This window comes from Homo sapiens, chromosome 9 (genome assembly GCF_000001405.40).
Source record: "Homo sapiens chromosome 9, GRCh38.p14 Primary Assembly".
Taxonomy (NCBI): domain Eukaryota; kingdom Metazoa; phylum Chordata; class Mammalia; order Primates; family Hominidae; genus Homo; species Homo sapiens.
The window spans coordinates 5004686-5027904 of record NC_000009.12 but is presented as its reverse complement, the minus strand read 5'-3'; the positions used below and the strand labels follow the sequence as shown (position 1 = coordinate 5027904).

At 37.4% G+C, this 23219-nt stretch overlaps 2 protein-coding genes across 9 annotated transcripts in view, besides 1 other annotated feature; one reads left to right on the top strand and one right to left on the bottom strand.

The window, feature by feature from the left end:
- Nucleotides 1-23219, bottom strand: part of JAK2 (Janus kinase 2) — a 145559-nt gene that overhangs the window by 102044 nt on the left and 20296 nt on the right. For all 8 annotated transcript variants that reach the window (NR_169763.1, NR_169764.1, NM_001322194.2 and 5 more), the window contains one exon: nt 5692-5942. Coding sequence is in view for 4 of the 8 variants with exons in the window: in NM_001322194.2 (NP_001309123.1) it covers nt 5692-5917 (226 nt within the window). In the remaining 4 variants the exon portion in view is untranslated. The remainder of the gene's footprint in view (nt 1-5691; nt 5943-23219) is intronic.
- The window catches only part of INSL6 (insulin like 6), a 193664-nt gene that overhangs the window by 157735 nt on the left and 12710 nt on the right, over nt 1-23219 (top strand). The window lies entirely within an intron of this gene.
- Nucleotides 2162-2456: a silencer, noted in NCBI's record as "tiled region #14989; HepG2 Repressive non-DNase unmatched - State 24:Quies, and K562 Repressive non-DNase unmatched - State 15:Elon". NCBI's record gives its function as "represses a minimal TATA promoter and a strong SV40 promoter by Sharpr-MPRA in HepG2 and K562 cells {active_cell/tissue: HepG2 | K562}" and the evidence as "EXISTENCE:reporter gene assay evidence [ECO:0000049][PMID:27701403]".

The following is a 23219-nucleotide window of genomic DNA, read 5'->3' as shown; positions in this document are numbered from 1 at the left end:
TGTGGTAGAAGTAACAAGAGAACTAAAATTAGAAGTGGAGCTTGAAGACGTGACTGAATTGCTGTAATCTCACGATAAAACTTGGACATATAAGGAATTGCTTTTTATGGATGAGCAAAGAAAGTGGTTTCTTGAGATGGAATCTATTCCTGGTGAAGATGCTGTGAATATTGTTGAAATGACAACAAAGGATTTATAATACTACATCAACTTAATCAAAGCAGTGGCAGGGTTTGAGTGAATCAACTTCCTATTTTCAAAGAAGTTCTACTGCGGGTAAAATGCTATCAAATAGCATTGCATACTACAGAGACATCTTTCACGAAAGGAAGAGTCCACTGATGCAGCAACCTTCATTGTCTTATTTTAAGATATTGCCATAGCCACCCAACCTTCAGCAGCCACCACCCTGGTCAGTCAGTAGCCATCAACATCAAGGCAAGACTCTCCACTAACAAAAAGATTATGACTCACTGAAGGCTCAGATGATTATGAGTGCTTTTTGACAATAAAGTATTTTTAAATTAAGGTATGTACTTTTTTGGACATAATATTATTGCATACTTAACAGACTACAGAATAATTTAAACATAACTTTTATATGCACTGGGAAACCTAAAACTTCATGTGATTTGCTTTATTGCAATATTTGCTTCACTGCGATAGTCTGGAACCAAACCCACAATATCTCCGAGGTGTGTCAGTATTTTAAAATATAACTGCTGAGACTCTTTCAAGCAGATATTTTTAAAACATTTCATCTGGTTTCTTCAGTTGTCCTCTATAGAAAGGTTGGTTCAAATTTTCAAGTTTCCCTGAACTGGAGGTATAATAAAAATCCATGCTTGCATGTGGTTGCACAGAAGGAGTTGTTTTAATTAATAGGTATCAAATCACAAAAATATTTAGAAGTCATGAATACTCTTAAAAGAACAATGTGTCAAGTTTTACACAATACATTAATAATTATGTCCTTTGGGCTATTTTAATTTACAATGAAAAATTTTAAATATCAACTTAAAATGTGAGTGCATATGTAATTTCTTAAAAGATATTTTAGAAGGTACATCAACAAATGGTTGAAAGCCACTGAACTAAAAAACCAAGAGAATACCTAAACCACACAAGTAAATAATACAAGCTATTTTCAAGCATATATAGAACATTCACACATACGCATACACGTACACACACAAGCACAAACACAACAATCACGTGAACTCAAAACAAGTCTTTAGAAGTTCCACAGAATAACCATTCATACCATGTTCTCTAACCACACTTCAATTAAATCAGAAATGAATATGTAAAATTTTTTTAATCCTATATATTTAAAACATAAGGCTCACAGAACACAAAAGTATTTTATTCTAGTTATGTTTTCACTATTTTCCACTGTAGATAGAAACGGCACAAATGACAAACTGACAAGAAAGACTTAAATTCTTAATTTAAATTATTAACACGACCGTCTACTTACAGATGTGTAATAATTTCGGTAAGTTATTTATAATAACATTATTTAGCAGCAACTTTTAAACAGTATACTTGCATTCATTCTTTTATTTACAAATAACTTCCAAATAACTCAGAAGTCAAAGGAAAAATACATTGGGAGGCATTTATAATGAATAATGATTACCAATATCATGTACTAAAAATTGTGGAATACAACTAAGGTGAAACTCAAGAGGAAAAATTGTAGCTTTATCTGCTTATATTAGAAAATAAGAGCAAATGATCTAAGTATCTAACTCAATATAGTAGAAGACAATAGAGTAATCCCAAAGAAAGGTTAGAGATGGACATGATAAAAATCCAATAGGGAGAAGTAACAAAATAAAAGATGATTCTTTGCAAAATAGATCTTTGTCAAGGATAATAAGAAAAAAAGAGGCACAGATAAACACTAAGAACTTTTAAAAAGCATAATTATAAGTTATGAAGACAAAGAGTGCTAGAACAACATTATGCCAATAAACTTGAAAATATAGACAGATGGACAATTTTTGTGAAAATGTAACTTTAAAAAGATTCATTAATTTAAAACTTCAACAGAACTATAACCATTAAAGAAATAGATTCTGGCTGGGTGCAGTGGCTCACACACTTTGAGAGGCCGAGGCAGGTGGATCACCTGAAGTCAGGAGTTTGAGATAAGCTTGGCCAACATGGCAAACCCCGTCTCTACCAAAAATACAAAAATTAGCTGGGTGTGGTGGTGGGTGCCTGTAGTCCAGCTAGTCAGGAGGCTGAGGGAAATGAATCACTTGAACTTGGAAGGCGGAGGTGGCAGTGTGCCATAATCATGCTGCTGCACTCCAGCCTGGGCAACAGAGCAAGACTCAGTCTCAAAAAAAAAAAAAGGAAACAAACTCTATCCACTTAAACAAAAGAAGAAGAAAAGAAAGAAGGAGCAAGAAAGAGACAGAAGAAGGGAAGGAAGAAGAATAACAAAATAACAATGAAGAAAGAAAAAACCACCATCAGGCCCAGACAAGATTTATATTTGAGTTCAACCAAACATGAAAGACAATTCCATCTTAAGTATACTATCACAGAGAATAGACCAAGAGCGAACAGAGAAATTGACACATTTTGTGAATTTAGTTTGACTACGATACCAAGGGTAATCTCACCAATATAGATAGAAAAATCTTAAACTTTACTTCCATGATTAGAAAAGTAAAAGAGTAACATCAGTGAAAATGGTGGAGTAGGTAGTTCCAAGGACCTATCCTTCTCCCAGAAACAGGAAAAAAAAAATGAGTAAAAACTGTCAGAATGAACTTCATATAAACTACAGAAAATAGGCAAAGATATGCAGCAATCAGATAAATGCTGAATCAAGAAAACAGCCACTTAAAAATGGCAGGAAAGTTGTGCAGCATTTTTACTTTCCCTTAACCACCCACTACGCCCATGTCCTGCCCACCAGCCCCGGCTCCACTCCCCCTAGTTAAGCAAAGTCTTGAAGATGGCAATTGGTGCTCCCAGTGTGAAACTCTGGTCCCTGGCTCTGGAGTGAACAGAGCCAACCTTAATCTCAAAAAACTGTTTTTCTCTCTTTTGCCCTGACTGGGGACTGACTGAAGAAATGATGCAAAGAGCACACCTATGTTCCACTTAATTCAGGACTTTCTCAGGGCAGAAAAGCAGCTTCACAGAAGATATTCATTGAAAACATTGCAAATGAACAAGCTGTTGCTATCTGGGGCAGAGGTCTAAAGTTGAGGCAAACAATAAACACACTGAAAACCAAAACAGAGATGACAGAGGAGAGTTTATTTGGGAAATGACAGCACTGAAAAGCATTTCTATGTATTGGAGAGTAGAAAAGCCATATGCATGCCCAAGGAACAGAACTTAGAAGAAAAGACCCTAAGCTTTCACCTCAAGCTGTTCTTTAGAGTCAGCACAAGCAGGAAGGGAAGGCTAAGGCAGAGTTGTAAATGGACTGGGTAAACACTGAATGAGAGCCCCAACACAGAGCCAATCTGCAAAGACTGAAAGAGTTTTTTGTTCTTTTCTATTATTTTCTTTTGGCCCTAGGAATTCAATAAAATCTGTCAAAAAAAAATCTTACAAGCTAAAGCAAAATCTTACATGCTAAAAATGAATCTTACAAGCCAAAAAAAAATTTTTTTTTGAGATGGAGTCTCGCTCTGTCGCCCAGGCTGGAGTGCAGTGGCGCAATCTCGGCTCACTGCAAGCTCCGCCTCCTGGGTTCATGCCATTCTCCCACCTCAGCCTCCCAAGTAGCTGGGACTACAGGTGCCCACCACCACACCTGGCTAATTTTTTGTATTTTTAGCAGAGATGAGGTTTCACCATATTAGCCAGGATGATCTCGATCTCCTGATCTTGTGATCTGCCTGCCTCAGCCTCCCAAAGTGCTGGGATTACAGGTGTAAGCCACCGTGCCCGGCCCAAGCTAAAAATCTTACAAGCTAAAATCTTACTAGCTAAAAAATATCTTACAAGCTAAAAAATCTTAAAAGCTAAAAAAATCTTACAAGCTAAAATCTTACTATAAGCTAAAGGATCAGAGATTTCAGAGACTACACACAACAAAAAATACAGACTTTACAATATAGTCAAGATAACTGACCAGAGGTCTCTCATATCCACTTCCCCACTAAAAACTAAAACCATGAGTATATAATCACACTTTGAGTAGATTATCCAAGAGGAACACTGGTATTCAACAGAAAAGCAAGGAAGGAGACGAAACAAGACAGCCTGCCCAGCCGGGATTGGCAAGAAGCTAGGAGAGACTCCACACAGGGAAAGGTTAAGTTAGAGATGCCCAATGGTCCACATTCCTACTGTGAACCCCTGGAATTTTAGTCACAGGAGAGACCCTAGCCCCTTGCAGGACAAAAAATTCACATAGAGGGCTGCCCAGAGACAGCACAAAAGCATTTCCTATTCCAGTGAGGAAGTTCACACTGGGTCCCACGCTCCCCCCGAGTCCTAAGCAGCTACAGCAAGGTGATATTTTGAAGCCCAGCTCACAACAGAATGCGTACTCCCCTGGGGCCCAGTGGCATCGTAAAAAAGAATGTAATCATGTCATTCACAGCAACATGGATGGAACTGAAGGTCATTATGTCGAGTGAAATAAGCCAGGAACTGAAAGACAAATATAACAAGTTCTCATTCATATGTGGGAGCTAAAAAGTTGATCACATGAAGGTAGAGTGGATTGGTAGCAGAGACTGGCAAGGTTATATGGGTGGGAAGAGGGAAATGAAGAGATGTTGGTTAATGGGCACAAAAATACAGACAGAAGGAACAAGTTCAAATGTTTGATAGAAGAGTAGGGTGACTATAGTTAACAACAATGTATTGTATTTTTCAAAATAGCTAGAAGGAACTTGAAATGTACCTAGCTTCCTCCAACTTACAGTTAATGGTTATTCTGACCTATACTGATCTTAAATAAGAGAATAAATTGATGTAATCATACATTCTTATAAATACTATATTAGACATTTAATTTGCCTCTACAAATAAAATCATACGACTATTCTTCAAAATAGTGTCAACTAGTCTTTCTATTAAAAGAACATTTAAAAATGAGATACCATGATAGTAGGCTCTATAGTAACCTCAGTGGTCTAGTAAAATGTGTTAGCTCTATAGAAAGAGTTCTCTGGTTCACAGTTTTGGTCCATAGATAATATAATCAGGTCTCAAGAGTAAAAATGATTTCAAGATACACCAAAGACATAAGAAATATATATGAGGAAAGATTGGCAGAGGTCTTCAGAAGCTAACTAGAAGAAAATGATGGTTTGTCAGCCATTTAATCAAGATTTTAAATCAAATACATATTTCAAAACATTAATTTTTTGCTTTCATGTTGCTCTCAGGATCTAGCTTTAATATTACCTTATGTCATGAGATAGCCCATGACAGGATTTTTTAACCACCTTATATGTAATTATAAAGAATAGTCAGCAAACATTTATGGGCATCAATTTGTTTTGATACCTAGCCCAAGGCAGATTCACCATAAATTGTACTCCAGTAACACTTTCATTTTCTATGCATGTGAAAACACACACGCCAGCCATACAAGCATTAAAAAAATAAAAATATATATTATGCATGTACCTAGTATTAGCATAGCATAATTAAAACAATCCATGCATAAAAAGGAAAATGCTGTTTTTTAATACTTACCACAAGCTTTAGAAGCAGCAATACAGATTTCTTCTGCAACATACTCCCCAGATGGAAAGGTCAGATAATCTGCCTCAGATTTCCCAAGGGAATGGTAAAGATACACCTGAAGAACTGGATCTATTTGCTTCATAGAATTGGCATTTCCAGAAATATCACCATTCTGATATATAGAAGAGGTGGATGTTCCCTCCATTTCTGTCATCGTAAGGCAGGCCATTCCCATGCAGAGTCTTTTTCAGAACATTTGCCTGTAAGAGAAAACAATAAAGTTACAAATGGGCTGGGCGCAGTGTCTCACACCTGTAATCCTAGCACTTTGCGGGGCCGAGGCGGGCAGATAGCTTGAGCCCAGAAGTTGGAGACAAGCCTCAGCAACATGGTGAAACCTCATCTCTACAAAAACATACAAAAGAAAAAAATTAGCTGGGCGTGGCAGCACGCACTTGTAGTCCTAGCTACTCTGGGAGTGGAGCGGAAGAATTGCTTGAACCTGGGAGGATGAGGCTGCAGCAAACCTCCGCACTCCACCGCACTCCAGTCTGGGTGACACAGCAAGACCCTGTCTCAAAAATGAATACATAAATAAATAAAGTTACAAATGGAAATAATATTGATAAGGCACCCTTCATACACAAAGAAGGACTGCTCCTTGACAGCAATGGCTGTCAAATCCATTAACTGGATAAATATCGTGTATTACTACATACAAAGCACAATGCAAGAAATCATACATTTTAAACTTCCTGTGGACAAAGATTATAAAATTCCAGTTAACAACCTAATTGAGGACGATGATATAAAATCCTAACATGAACAAACAAGCATTAAACTCAGTTACAGACAACAGAAGAAGAGATCTCAAATTGGGGGAAGAGGGGTCCAGAAGGTTGACTAGAGTTATCTGGTACTCACCTGCTCCACAAAGAAGAACCAAAATAGCGAGTAGATAATCACACTTTGAATAGGTCATCTAAGAGAGAACACGGAAATTCAACAGAGAAGTGATAGAAAACACCTAATGCAAGGAAGGAGAGGGAAGTGGGGCAGCCTGCTCAGCCAGGATCAGCCAGAAGCCTAGAGAGCCTGCACAATGTGGGGAAAGAGTAAGTGAGAGACTCCCAGTGGCCCACATTTTCACTGCAAACTCCTGCAATCCCAGACACAAGAGAGCCCGTCAACTTTCATGGGCCCTGGGAGTAACATAGGGAGCTGCCTGGAGACTGCACAATGACATTGCTTTAGAGAGGGAGCTTATGCTGGTCCAACACACCCCTGAGTCCTAAGCAGCTACAGCACGGTGCCATTTTTAAAGCCCAACCCACACCAGAATGCCTCCTACCCTGGAGCCCAACAGCCCCTGCATATCCACACCCCTAGAGCCCCACTGACATCCTCCACCGACAGTCACCTCCATTGCTGGCTGCCGCCTCTGGGACCAAAGCACAAGCCATTGGCAATAACCCCACTGCTCCCAGCAGAAGGGCTGCCATATATTGGTATGTGCCCTGAGGACAAGCTCTACCACCTACAGCTGCCACCATTGCAGGCTGCTGCCGCTAGGTGTCAAAATGCAAATTTGCATGCACCCTGAGTACAGCTTCATCACATCTACAGCCTCCACCTGCAGCTGCAGTGCACACTCCTTAGCCAACTCCCTACAACTGCTCCCACTGACAGCAACTGCACCCTCCCCAGCATCAGGGCACAGCACAGCCACTGCTGCCCCCACCTGAACATTCCACCAGGAAATTGGAAATCATCCTGCTCCTGCCCACCACAAACAGCACCTGCTAACACCACTGGAGGGCCTGAGGATACTCTCACCCTGCCCAGCTCAGCACCCCACTCCCACGTATCCAAGCATGTTATCTGGGGGCCTTGGGATCGCACCAGTTTGTCCACGTCCAGTGTCAACTGAGCATTCCACCTGGGGGTCTGAGGATGTGGCCCACCCAACCTGCCACTACCACCACAGCTGGTTCCCACTCACACTTGCCACCTGCAGGTTTTAGGACTTGCCTACCCAGCCAATCGCCGTCACTGCCGACATAAGCACAGACAACTGGACAGCCAGAGGTTCTCCTACCACTGCTACTGACATAACCCATGCCATGCTCACTGCCCAGGGGCCTGTGGACCCACTCAGCTGCCCAGCCCATCACTGCCACTCCTGGTACCCAAACAAGTCACCTGGAGACCCAAAAATTGGACTGCCTGGACCCACTAACACCATTACTAATGTAAGCCACCCTGGGGCTAATGTACAGGCATGGTTGTCCAACTGCTGCCACAACTGAGGACTGAGGATCAGTCCAGCTGGTGTCACCATCCCCAGCAAAAGTTCACCACAGCCTCCACAACCACACACTATGCCACTGAGGAAATCACAGACACCACTGATGCTGTTTACAAAGGAAAAAAAATCTTACAGAGACTACACTACTGCATGCACCCAGATTCAAACCCAAAGTGCCCTGGCCAACAAACACCCCAGTCAAATCTTCAGGAAAAAGTCCTACCCTATGAAAGCAAATTCAAAAAAATGGAAGTGATGATTACACCAGATGTGTGGATATCAAAGAAGTAAGGTCACAAGAAACATGGGAACATAGGGAAATATGACATCTCCAAAGGATCAAAATAATTTTCTACCAAAAGATTCCAATGCAAAAGAAATTCATGAAATGCCAGAAAAAGAATTAAAAATAATGATATTAAAGAAGCTCAGGGAGATACAAACGCATACAGATAAACAATACAAAGAAACCAGAAAAACAACTCAGGATATCAATGAGAAATTTACCAAAGAGAGAGATATCATTTAAAAAGAAAACAAGAAACCCTGAAACTGAAGAATTCATTTAATGAAATAAAAAATACATTCTAGAGCATCTACGAAGAAAGAATTTCTGAACTTGAAGACAGGTCTTCTGAAATAACCCCATTAGACAAAAATAAAGAAAAAAGAATGAACAAAGCCTGCATGACATATGGGATACCATAAAGCAAACTAATATTAGAATTTTCAGTATTCTAGAAGACAATGAAAATACAAAAGGAATAGAAAACCTGGTTAATGAAATAATAGCTGAAAACTACCCAAGTATATCAAGAGATTTAGACATTCAGATACAGAAGCTCAGAGATCCCCAAAAAGACAAAATTCCAACAGGTTCTCCACAACACATTAGAGTCAAACTGTCAACAGTTTGTCAAAGACAAAGAGAGAACTGTTGTCAGAGACAACAGCTTGTCAAAGACAAAGAGAGAATTCTAAAAACAGCAAGAAAAAAGAGTCTAGTCACTTCTAAGGGAAGCTCCATCAGACTAACAGCAGATTTCTCAGCAGAATCATTACAGGCCAGGAAGAGAATGGAACGATATATGAAAAGTGCTGAAAGAAAAAAACCTGCAAGTCAAGGATACTATACCCAGCAAAATTATCCTTCATTAAGCAAAGGAAAAATAGTTTTTCTGAGGCAAGCAAAAGCTGAGGAATTCAACACTACTAGACCAGACCTACAAGAAATGCTTGAGGGAGTTCTACATATGGAAGTCAAAGAACAATGTCAGGCCAGGCACAGTGGCTCAAGCCTGTAATCCTAGCACTTTGGGTGGCTGAGGCAGGCAGACTGCTTGAGCCCAGGAGTTCAAGAGCAGCCTGGACAACATGGCAAAACCCCATGTCTACGAAAAATACAAAAGAATTAGCCAGGCATGGTGGCAGGTTTCTGTAGTCCCAGCTACCTGAGAGGCTGAGGCAGAAGGATCACCTGAGACCATGGAGGTCGAGGCTGCAGTGAGCCATGATCACACCACTGCACTCCAGCCTGGAGGACAGAACAAGAGCAAAACCCTGTCTCAAAAAAGAAACAAACAAACAAACAAAAAGGACAATTACTACCATTATGAAAAACAGATGACGAAAGTATCAAACCCACTGGTAAAGCAAACACACACAGACAAGAAAGGATTCAAATGTTATCACTATAGAAAACCAACAAACCACAATGCTAAACAATATGAGAGAAAGAAAAGAACAAAGGACCTACAGAACAACCAGAAATCAATTAATAAAATGACAGGAATAAGCCTTCACATATCAAGAATAAACTTGAATGTAAATAGATTAAACTTTCCACTTAAAAGATAGAGAATGGCTAAATGGACTAAAAAACATGACCCAACTACATGCCACTTACAAAACCTCATCTCACCTTTAAAGATACACATAGACTGAAAGTAAAGGGATAGAAAAAGATATTCCATGCAAAGGTATATCAGATACAACAGACTTTAAGTCACAAACAGTAAAGAGACAAGGTAATTCTAGAATGATAAAGGGATTAATTCATCAAGAGGATATAACAATTCTAGAACTTCTAATGTATCAAAACAACAACAACAAAACCTGGCAATTACTGTAACAGATATAAAACTGCAAGATTTTTGAAGTTCATCTGCAACTGGATATGCAACTTTAAAGAATTAATTTATTCAAAAATACATAATTCCTTGAAATCTATTACATCGTATCTTATTATAGTCAGTATTAAATGCAGCAAAAGCAGTTATAAGAGGGAAGTTTATAGCAATAAATACCTACATCAAAAAGGAAGAAAGATGTCAAACAACATTACATTACACCTCAAGGAACTAGAAAAAGAAGAACAAAGCCCAAAGCTAACAGAAGGAAGGAAAAAATGAAGTTCACAGCAGAAATAAATGACATAGAAACTATAAAAATGATGGAAAAGATTAACAAATCTAAGAGTTGGTTTTCTGAAAAGATAGAAAGTTAATTTAAACGAAGTTCTTAGCATTAAGGAGTAAATTTGCTAGAATTTTATCAGTTTGTGCCCACCACTGACTTTGGATTGTTTTGTGCTCATCATTGTTTTGGGTCTTCCTTCAGGACTCACTTTTTCCTGCTGAAATGTATCTTTTAGTAGACCTTTCAGTGGGGCTCTGTGGGTTTTTAAGTTGTAGTCTTTGAAAAAAATATGTTGCCCTCACTCTCAAAATCCTATTTATAATTTTCTTTCCCCAGAACTTTAAAGATATTACTGCATTGTTTTGTGGTATCTATTAACATAAATATGAAGTCTGCTATCACTCCTACATGTCATGGCTTTCCCTCAAGTAGTTTAAAACTTGTTTGCATTAGCAGCAATGTTCTGCAATATTTTTGGAAAGGTTTTGATGTAGATTCTTCTTTATCTTGATCAAAAATGACTACATACTTTTAATCTAAAGATTCATGTCTTTTTTCTATTCTAGGAAATTCTCAGCTACTATGCCGTCAAATGCTACTTCTTTGTTATTCCCTCTAAATTATTTTAGCAGAACTGTTCACTGACCATGGAGGCCTCTCAAGCTCACTTCCATATCCTTCCATTTCTTTCTCATGGTGAAAAAAAGTTAGGATAATGGTTAGCTTGGCAGGGTTGGGATAGTGGGAGGGCATGGAGAATAACTGGCAGGAGGTACAGGGAGACCTCTGGGGTGCCTCCTGCCAGTAATTCAGGTGATACTCTATTTCTTGATCTAAGTAGTGGTTAACAAAGGTGTGTTCACTTTATGAAAATTTGTTAAGCTGTGCATTTATGAGTAGCATACTTTCCTGTTTGTGTGTTACACTTCAATTAGAGGTTTACTTACATTTTTAAATTTTATCAGGAAAAAATTCATTTTTCAATTTTTAATTTTGTTGACTATTTTTCTTAGCACTACATTTCTTCATATATTTTGCAATTTGGTTTGCAGGCTCATTGCACCATTCCTCACCTCACCTTGCCCTCAACACACACACATACACAGTCTGTGGTGTCCCTCCTCATCTAACAATCTGTGGCTGCCACAACTTAGCCTACCTGGGCTATCCATATATAGAACCAGGTCTTATAACAGCAGGTTAAAATTCCTGCCTTGAGGAGGTATCTGATACGATGCAGATCCAGTCAGTCACAAGGCAGGAGATACTTCACTTCATCCTGAAGTTCCTAAATCATGTCATCTCATCTTCCTAAGCTTGCAACTTATCCAACACTATAGCAGTAGGCAGCGTTTGGCGGGAGGTTCCCCTTCCAATAGTCTATTTGGAGGGAAGCGACGGCTGGCAGTAAAAGTAACATCCTGGACCTGCCTCTAGTCATCCATGTTGTACCACAAGAGCAAAACTGTCTCCAATGCCTACTTCTGTACAGGAAACCCAGCAAGCATAGCATAGGCTTTAACCACACTCAGTATTTTGCACTTATAATCTATATATATGTACAGCTTGATCTATTTTTATTCAGGATATTTTTTACTCTTTTTATATTTTAATATGACACAATCGTGTTTAGAACAGAAAGGATGGTAACTGGAAATCACACTGCCTTAAACATACACTCATATCCCAGAATTCCATAGGCACTCAGTAAATGTTTCCCGAATTTAAATGAATTCAATCATTTAGAAAATGCATTGATGCTTTGCTACGAAAAAGAATCAAAAGAATAAGTGACTCGAATTGGCTTTTTTCTTTTCCTGGAAGTACATGACGAGAAAGAAAACAATAGGATCACTTGAGCCCAGGAGACCGAGGCCGCAGTGAGCAGTGATTGTGCTCATGCCACTGCACTCCAACCTGAGTAACAAAGTGAGACCTTGTCTCAAAAAAAAAAAAAAGAAAAGAAAAAGAAAAAGAATACAATGATCACAACTACAACCAGCATTACTGCTTTGATTTGTGCTAAGGTGCCAGCCGTTTAACTCACTATTACTTCTGTACCATTTGTGCATATGTCAACTCAATGAAAAAGACATTTAACATCTTGGCATTATTATGAAAATCATTTTAATTTCATTAAACCCTTGAATAGGTTTTTAGGATACCCAGGCATCCTCTAGAGACCACGTTCTGAGAACTGCTACAATTCTACGTCTAGTTACAAACTTCATGCATATTTACACCAAGAGACACATTACAAGAATATTCATTGCGCCTCAGCTTCCAATGGCAAAAACTGCAAACAACCCAAACTATCAGGAAAATAGGTAAATACTTTTGTGCATTTATACTACAGAATCTGTTCCTCAGTTGTTAAAATAAATGAACTATAGCTTTATGCAACATGGATAAATCTTAAAAATACAATGTTGCAAAAGCAGTAAATTATAGAAAACTGTAAGCTGTAAAATACCGTTTTTCTAAATTTCAAAAACAAGCAAAACTGAATAGTACATTGTTTAGGCATATACATGTGTTAAACAAATCTCCCCCCGCCCCCGCAAAAAAAAAATAAAAAATCAAGGAAATGTTAATCCCAAAATACAATACACAATGGTTACTTCTGCAAGATAGACAGGAGAATAGCTAGGGAGAAACACATATGTAGGTGCAAATTGCTGGCAACATTCTAGTTCCTGGGGTGGGTGGTAGTTTCATGGGTGTTTAACATATTGTCATTTATAACTCTCATATAAGTTACATCTATTCTAGTTTTACAGGATTTTCCCTCCTAAATACAATCAAATGCACAAATCTTAAGTGTACCAGTCAATAAGTTTGGACACTGCATATACCTATGTAACCCAAAGCCCTAAGAAATTATCAGCATCCCAGAAAGTTCTTCCATGCTCCTTCTCCATCAGTCCCTGCTCCAACCACTCAAGTGGCCACAGCTGTTCTGATATTTTCCCACCATAGATTAGATTATGATTTTGCTCATTGTCTTGTACCACTAGAATGAAAGTTTCTTGAAGGTAAGAACCTTAATGTATTATTTACTACTGCACTCAGTGCCTAGGATACTCTCTGACACATGAAAGTTGTTGAATAAATGAAGAGTATATAAAAGCTGTAATTAAGTCTGGTCAACATGTGTTGATTAACAAATCTGTTGAATAAAGAGTAAATAAGAGGCTGGGTACAGTGGCTCACACCTGTAATCCCTGCACTCTGGGAAGCCAAGGTGAGAGGATCACTTTAGCTCAGGAGTTCAAGTCCAGCCTGGGCAACATAGTGAGAACCTGTCTCTACGAAAAAAAAAAAAAAAAAAAGAAAGAGTAAATAAAAGTTATAATAAATTTTAATCAACTGTACACATACACTCAAAAACCAGTACCTCAAATATCACATTTTAAAAGTTCATATTTTCAAACTTTACTCATATACTACATAATTCTAAGAGACACAACTTTTCAGATCAATAAATATACATGAAGAAGTAATGCAGTAGATTAGAAAAATTACTAACCTGGGAGCCAAGAGACCTAAAAATAAGTTTCATCCTTTCTTATTGCAAACTACTTACATGACAAATGAATCTCAGCTTCCTCACTTGTATAATAAAATTACTTAATTAAATTTCCGCTGTTCCTCCCAATTCTTAAAAATCTATGATTTATAGTAAATTACACATCATCTAAGTACAAAATAAATTTTAAAAATTAAGTGCTACAAAATGACAAGAAGAAAATGATCATAATTATTTAAAACAAAGAAAGGTTTTAGAAGTTTCACACAACAATTAAAACATAGGCTGGACCTTAAAAGGAAAATAGAATTTTGACAAGTAATGAAAAACAGGGCATTATTGGCAGGGAGAAAAGCATGCAAAACATGGAAAGAGGAATGTACACAGCATGTTCCTGGAACAAAGTAGAGACAAGTTTGGCTGGATTGGAAGGTTCAGATAGGTCAGTGCTTCTCAACTTTTCCACAGAAATGTCCCAAAAGGCAATGGAGTGGTCTGAAGAAGAAGCCAAGAATATAAAATACATTTAAATGTTTACCTTTAATATCCATGTGATTTTGCATTCTATTGCAAGATATAACCATTTTGATTTACTTTCTTTAGTATACCAAAATTTTATAGTCCAAGTAGATATACTATGTTTTTCCTACAATTATTCCTATACTACTTTGGTAAACCTAAATATGGTGAGGTGAAATGTAAAAGAATTTTGTATTGTACTCTAAAGACCACTCCTATTTTTTTTTATCACAAAAGAAGAAGATATAAGTTATTAGAAAAAAAGTGCTTTGGGTTGTTTTCTTATTGAGCAAGAAAGAAAATACAAACAGAAAAGAGGTCTTAACAAGCTTTCATACTTTGAGATAATAAAGAATTTGGTCAACCTTTATTCTTCTCTTTTTTCACCCCTATATCCAGTCCATCAATATGTACTGATAGTTTTACTTCCAAACTATATTTCAAATCCATCCATTGGCTTTTTTTTCCACAACTACCATCATACACTAAACAGCTATTATTTCTCTCCTGAACTATTGCAATGTCCTCCTAACTATTTTCCCTAAGTCTACTTTGCCTCCCAATAACCTAATCTCCCACAGGAGCCACCCTCATATTTTACGAATGTTTAGACTAAAATTCCATTATCTGTTTGCTGCTTACCTCTCCAACCTCATCATACAACTCTTGCTATGTGCTCTTTCCACTACTAAATTATAGGCTTCAATACCTTATAATTCAACAAAGAACCTCATCTGCCTTGTCAAACGATCTATTCTTAGCAGGTAGAAAAATCCTGAGATACAAATCTTACTAAATATTTAATTTATTAATGCTATGCTCATAAAAATAACAAAATAATTATTTTATTATACATACGGTATAATTTCGGGATCTCCAGACCAAGGCTGGGTTGCCTCCCTTAATGAGAAGTTCAGAAAAATCATGTGCATTCCCTTCTGCCCCAAACACCAAGGAAATGATAAATAACAACAATTTTAAGTAATTTTTAACATACAGATTTTTGATAATGAGAGAGTAGTTTATACTACACTAATGTTCCTGATGACGACAATTATAAACTTTTTAAAAATATATATTTATAAAAACACCATTTGAAGGCATTGTCAAAGAAACAAAAGCAGATACAAATCGGGGGGATATGACCCTTGAAAGAAGGGGAATACACTGAATGAGGCCCATACTTACTCTTCTTCCATCCTGAGACAACTACATACACAGTCTGTTGTGTACAGGCAGGGGCCAGAGGAGGGGACAGAGCTCTTGTAAAAAGCTGCAGTCTTACTGGGTGAAAGTATCAGAGAATGAAGTTTGGAGCTGCTAGAAAAGCCAAAAATTGAGGGCAGAAATCTCAGGAAAATGGGAGTCAGTGGGGCCTGACTCCTGAATTCCCATCCATAGGATGAAAATCGAAGCCCAGGGACAGGCAATAGCTAGAAATCTGAAAGAACTGGGAAGAGATTTCAACAGCTATCTGGTCCTGGAGAGTCAGGATTTAGTGTTAGAGGGAACTGGTAAATATCTCAGGCTTTCCACTGAAACGCCAGAAAAGCCACACTTGAAGAATAAGAGCCACTTACCAGAAGTAATGGCAAAACTGAAATAGACCTGTCCCAACAAAGCCTAAAACCAAGCCTCCGCAGGATCAAGTTGGTCTGCTAGTAAATTTAACTGCCTGCTAGAACAAAACTCATTACTTCAGAGAAAGATTGAAATCCACATCATCCGGAGTTTCTACACTGTATCACCCACAATGTACAATAGTCAGCTGAAACTTATTAAACATGAAAAGAAGAATATATATAATAGAAATGGACCCAAAGCAGACCCAAATATTAGAATTTATTTTAAAGACTTTGTTTACTATGATACATATGTAATAGAATTTACAGTAAAAAATTAATATAATGCATGAAGATAAAGAAGCCATATGTAAACTCTACAATATCAAGAAATCTAGGCCAGGAGTCATGGCTCATGCCTTTAATCCCAACATTTTGGGAGGCCAAGGCAGGAGGATTGCTTGAGTCCAGGAGTTCAAGACTAGCCCTGGCAACATAGCAAGACCCCATCTCTACAAAAAAATTTTTTTTTAATTTGCTGGGCATGGTGCTCTGTGCCCGTAGTCCCAGCTACTTGGGAGGCTGAGGTAGGAGGATTACTTGCGCTCAGGAGTTTGAGGCTGCAGAAAGCCGTGATCACACCACTGAACAACAAGAGTAACAAAGTCTGATACATATAAGTGGAACAGAGGAAATACTTGAAAAAATACTGGCTAAATGTTTTCCAAGTTTGTTTAAAAAAATCAAACCACCGATCCAAAAAGTTCATCTGAATCCAATCTATACAAATCCATACTTAAGTCACATTATAGCCAAACTGCTAAAAACCAAAGACAAAAAGATAATCTTAAAAGCAGTCACATACATACAGGAGAACCAAGACAAGAAATAGAACTGACATCGCTTCAGAAGTAATGGAGGCCAGAAGACAAAGTACTGGTAGGGAGAGGGGGAAAGCTGTCAACCCAGAATTCTACAATCCTGAAAAATAATTCTCATACTACTGGATCTGTTGTATTATAAAAAATAAGAATTTTCAAAATTCAAGGCAAAACAAATATGTTTTCAGATAAATGGATGCTGAGAGAGTACATCACCAACAAACTCACACTCAAGAACTGATAAAGAAAATCATGTGGATTAAAGGAAATATTACATGTAAACTCAGGTTTACAGAAAGGAATGAAGAGCTCAAAAATAGTAAATATGTGATTAATTATAATATTATTCTTCTTCCATTTATTAAATGTATTAAAAGGCAACTGACAGCCAGGCGTGGTGGCCCACGCCTGTAATCCCAGCATTTGGGAGGCCGAGGCGGGTGAATCACCTGAGGTCAGGAGTTCGAGACCAACCTGGCCAACATGGTGAAACCCTGTCTGTACTAAAAATATAAAAATTAGCCGGGCATAGTGGTACACGCCTGTAATCCCAGCTACACGGGAGGCTGAGGCAGGAGAATTGCTTGAACCCCGAAGGCAGAGGTTGCAACGGAGGTCATGTTTACTGCACTCCAGCCTGGGCGACAGAGCGAGACTCCGTCTAAAAAAAAAAAAGACAACTGACAATTGTTTAAAGCATGAATAATAACGGTGTATGGTAGGGCTTAAAATAGATATAAAAGTAAAACAGGTAACAACAGTAGCTAAAAGGAGTAAAATTAAAAGTTTATATAAACGAATTCATGGCGGCTCCGACAAATAAGAAAAGGTGCTATCAGCAAATCAGAAATTTACAGTAATTCCAGGAAGATCAAAAGTAGATAGGACTAGAATGACAGAGTAGAGGAAATAGACTCTATTTAAAACATACATAGGCTAGGTGCGATGGCTCATGCCTCCAATCCCAGCAATTTGGAAGTCCAAGGCGAGAGGATCGTTTGAGCCTGGAGCTCAAGACTAGCCCCGGCAACATTGCGAGACCCTGTCTCTACAAAAAAGAAATCTAAAAATTAGCCAGCATGTAGTGTGCACCTGTAGTACTAGCTACTTGGGAGGCTGAAATGGGAGGACGGCTTAAGCTTATGAGTTTGAGCCTGCAGTGAGCTAGGTTGGCACCACTTCACTCCAGCCTGGGCAACAGAGCAAGACTGTGACTGCAAAAAAAAAAAATTTTAACTGAAGAAAAAAAATACACAGAGGAAGGCATCTATAAGCATAAAAACAGTTGTCTGCACACACATAAAAAGCATAAATATGCAATGATTATCAAGGATTATTACAGTTAGGATGGGGATGGGGCAGGGGTTGTAGGAATAAAAGAGTAAGACCAAAATGGACCAGAAAACAACTGACCCCAGAAGAAACAGATAATGCAGGGAAGATAACTTGGTTTAAAATCTTTCTCGGTATTCTCAGAGAGATTTAAGAATATTTTGAAAACATAAAGCATCACTAGATTATGAAAAAGGAGCAGAGAATAAATAAAGTTTACAAAATTAAAAAAAAAAATCCTGACTAGTAATGAAGACAGCCTGGGCATTTCATAGTGTTCCTGTGCTGCTCTATCCTGGCTGTTTCCATTCTGTATCAGATGTAGCCACTATACACAATTTTGTGGATATTCTTCACGGCTTTATTCTTTATCATGAAGCAGTATTTTTCTTAATTTTGCCTCTTTTGCATTTCCTATAGAAATAAATAAATGGATCGTTCTCTCCTTTCCCACAGGTGTTTAACACCTGCTGATGTCTGAGCCTCGGACCACCCAATTTGCTCATCCATTCCAGTTATTTTAAGATTTGTGTTGTTCCAACTTATGTGTTGCTGTTATAGAAAATGCTGCTCTAATCATACTTGTTAAAGTTTGCAAGTGGCTGTGCATAATAAATTCTCTATACATTAAAGAAAAAGAGATAGATGACAATTCAGTGAAAGAGTTGAATAATACGACTCAAAGGATCAAACTCATAATTTGGAAGACAGTCAAGACAAACTCCCAGGTCCTAGACTCAGAAAGAGAAAGAGACAGACAGAAAGAAAAAAATATTATGAGCATAAAAGTAAGAAATAAGAGGATCAATCCAGGGAGTACAATTCTAAAGAGAAGCTCTAGATGGAGGACGAATGAAAACACAGGGAAGAAAAATAATAGAAGAAATTTTATTGGTGTTAAAGATGCTGGGTTCATGTTAAAAAGATCTGCTGAGAGGAGATAACATTTAATTTTTTAAAAACTGTACCGATACAAATCAAAGCAAAGGATCCAAACACCAAAGATAACAAAGAAACTCTAAAAGAGTTCAGTTTATCTCTGTCTACTCAGAGCTTTTACCCACACATATAAAAATCACTGATGAAAACACATGCATTCAGATTGGTCCCTCTTTAGATTCATACTCAAATGGGCCCTTAGTGCTGCTCAACTATCATTTTATATTTCTTTAGAACATTTACTCTTCCACTATCCAAGACAACTATCTCATACTTTCTCCTCCTCAATCACCAAAAGTGCCAGCCCTTTTCTTAATCTCCACTTCCTACATTTGACTGAGAAATACAAGCAATCAAAAGCAAACACCTAACAACTGAAGAATGCATATCCTTTTCAAATGAAGCTGGAATATTTTAGAAAGTAGACCACATGTTAGGCCATAAAATTCTCAACAAATTATTAATGAAATCATACAAAATATAATTTGTATTCAAAACATAAACAATGGAACAAGCAAACATTTTATATATTTGGGACCCATAATATTGACTTTATGTATAGACTATAAAAAATTTATATAATTCTTAAAAGTACTGAACAAATAGCAACACTGAAGAATATCGCATAAAAATGTGAAACTCAGCTTCACCATTACCCACTCATGTTATTCTGTGTAAACAGTTTGATAAGAATTCTCATTATTAGGGCCAGGCGCGGTGGCTCATGCCTGTAATCCCAGCACTTTGGGAGGCCGAGGCGGGGGGATCATTTGAGGTCAGGAATTCCAGGCCAGCCAGGCCAATGTAGTGAGACCCTGTTCTCCAGTGAAAACACAAAAATTAGCCAGGCGTGGTGGCACGTGCCTGTAATCCCAGCTACTTGGGAGGCTGAGATAGGAGAATTGCTTGAACCTGGGAGGCAGAGATTGCAGTGAGCCAAGGCTCAGATATCACACCACTGCAGTTCAGCCTGGGTGACAGAGTGAGACTCCACTCCAAAAAAAAAAAAGACAATATAATAATAATAATAATTCTCATTATTAGACTGGTGCAAAAGTAATTGTGGTTTTTGCCATTAAAGTATGAGTAAAAAACGCAATTACTTTAGCGTCAACCTAATAAAAGTATATTAAGTTGCAAAATAGGACATATTTTGCATTCAATGATTACTTAATATTTTATAAATTTATGCTATTCTTAATACCTCAACAAAAAAAACTCACGTATGCATTGAAAAATGTGAAGTTCTGCATTTGAATTAATGGAAATTTGCCAATGGCACCTAAATTAAAAATCTCTTATGGAAAATATAACCACTGACAAAAGTACCACAGCATATACAGAAAAATAACTAGAAACCCGCATATATTTGTAAATTAATCAATATATTTTCATAGAACCCATGGTACAAAGAATAACTTTAAAAATACTTTGAATCAATAATGAAAATGAGTAAAACGCAGTAAAAGTGTATACTAAGATATTCATAATCTTAAATTCATACACAAGACGAGAAGAAAGGCTGAACAATGTTATTAAATAAATTTTCATTTCAAGAAGTTGCAACAAATTAAGCCAAAAACCATAAAAATGAAAGTACTTAAGAGCAGAAATCAGAGAAAAATAAAAATAAAATAAAGAAAAGCAAAGTAAAACGTTGGCTTTTTAAAAGCATTAAAATTGATAAAACACTAGAAAGACTGATCAAGAAAAAAAGAAGATAAAACATAAATTATCAATATCGGGAATTAAAAAGTAGACATTATTACCAGAGCTTACAATATTGAAACATGTAAAAGACAACAGGAATATTCTCCAATTTAAAAACAAATGAAGTTCCTTTTAAAACAATTTACCTAAACTAGCACAAGAAGAAATATAAAATTTGAATAATTCTATATATAATTGATATGGTTTGGTTCTGTGTCCCCACCCAAATCTCATGTTGAATTATGATCTTCAGTGTTAGAGGAGTGGCCTGGTGAGAGGTGACTGGGTCATGGGATGGATTTACGCTTTGCTAGTCTCATGATAGTGAGTGAGTTTGCATGAGATCTGGTTATTTAAATTTTTGCAGCATGTCGTCCTTTGCTGTCTCTTTCCTGTTGCTGTATGAAGATGTACTTTTTTCCCCTTCACCTTCTACCATGATTGTAAATTTCCTGAGGCCTTCCCAGCCATGCCTTGTGTACAGCCTATGGAACCATGAGTCAATTAAACAACTTTTCTTTAAAAACTACCCAGTCTCAGATAGCTCTTTATAGCAATATGAGAACAAACAAATACAGTAATTTAAAAATTGAATATACCATGATTGTATATCTAGAAAACCCCATTGTCTCAGCCCAAAATCTCCTTAAGCTGATAAGCAACTTCAGCAAAGTCTCAGCATACAAAATCAATGTACAAAAATCACAAGCATTCTTATACACCAATAACACACAGAGAGCCAAATCATGAGTGAACTCCCGTTCACAATTGCTTCAAAGAGAATAAAATACCTAGGAATCCAACTTACAAGGGATGTGAAGGACCTCTTCAAGGAGAACTACAAACCACTGCTCAATGAAATAAAAGAGGATACAAACAAATGGAAGAACATTCCATGCTCATGGGTAGGAAGAATCAATATCGTGAAAATGGCCATACTGCCCAAGGTCATTTATAGATTCAATGCCATCCCCATCAAGCTACCAATGACTTTCTTCACAGAATTGGAAAAAACTACTTTAAAGTTCATATGGAACCAAAAAAGAGCCTGCATCGCCAGGTCAATCCTAAGCCAAAAGAACAAAGCTGGAGGCATCACGCTACCTGACTTCAAACTATACTACAAGGCTACAGTAACCAAAACAGCATGGTACTGGTAGCAAAACAGAGATATAGATCAATGGAACAGAACAGAGCCCTCAGAATATACCATTTAAAACTTTTCCACATAGAAAATGTAATGCCCAGTGACTTTGCTGGTAAATTTTTCCAAATGTCTGAGGAAGAAACATTGAGCTTATACAAACTCTCTCAGGAAATAGAAAATAAAAAACACTTACCCACATTCTTAAAATGAGAGTATAAACATGATACCAAAATATGTAAGGACATGAAAAGGAAAAAAATTACACTGGAATCTCTCTCATAAACATATTTGGAAAAAAATGCTAAACAAAATACTAGCAAATTAAATCCAATAACACTTTAAAAGAATACATCTTGACCAAATGAATTTACCCCCAGGAGTGCAAAGTTAACATTTAGAAATCAATCATTATACCAGATTTAAAAACTTGTACACAGCAAGGGAAACAATTAACAGAGTGAAGGGACAACCTATAAAACAGGAGAAAATATTTTCAAGCCATCCATATGATAAGGAGTTAATATCCAAAATAGATAAGAAATGCAAACAACTCAAAAGCAAGAAAACAAATAACCTGATTTAAAAATGGGCAAAGGACCGGAACAGATATTCCTCAAAGGACAATACAGACTGGGTGCAGTGGCTCAACCCTGTAATCCCAAAACTTTGGGAGGCCAAGGTGGGAGGATTACTTGAGACCAGGAGTTCAAGACCAGCCTGGGCAACACAGTGAGACCCTGTACCTAAAAAAAAAAAAAAAAAAAAAAAAAAAAAAAAAAAAAAAAAAAAAAAAATTAGCCAGGCATGCTGGCACATGCCTGCAGTCCCAACTACTCAAGAGGCTGAAGGAGGAGGATCACTTGCGCTTGGGAGGTCAAGGCTGCAGTGAGCTATGATCACACCACTGCACTTCAGCCTAGGCAACAGAGCAAGACTCTGTCTCAAAAAAAAAAAAAAAAGACAATATGTAAATGGCCAACATGTTCATGAAAAAACGTTCAACATCACTAAATGCAAATTAAAACCATAGTGAGATCTCACCTCATGCCTGTTACAATGAGCCTTATCAAAAAGATATAAGGATAACAAGCATTGGTGAGTGTGTGGAGAAAAAGAAACTCTTGTATACTCTTGGTGGGAAAATGTAAATTTTTACAGTCACTATGGAAAATGAATGGAGGTTCCTCAAAAA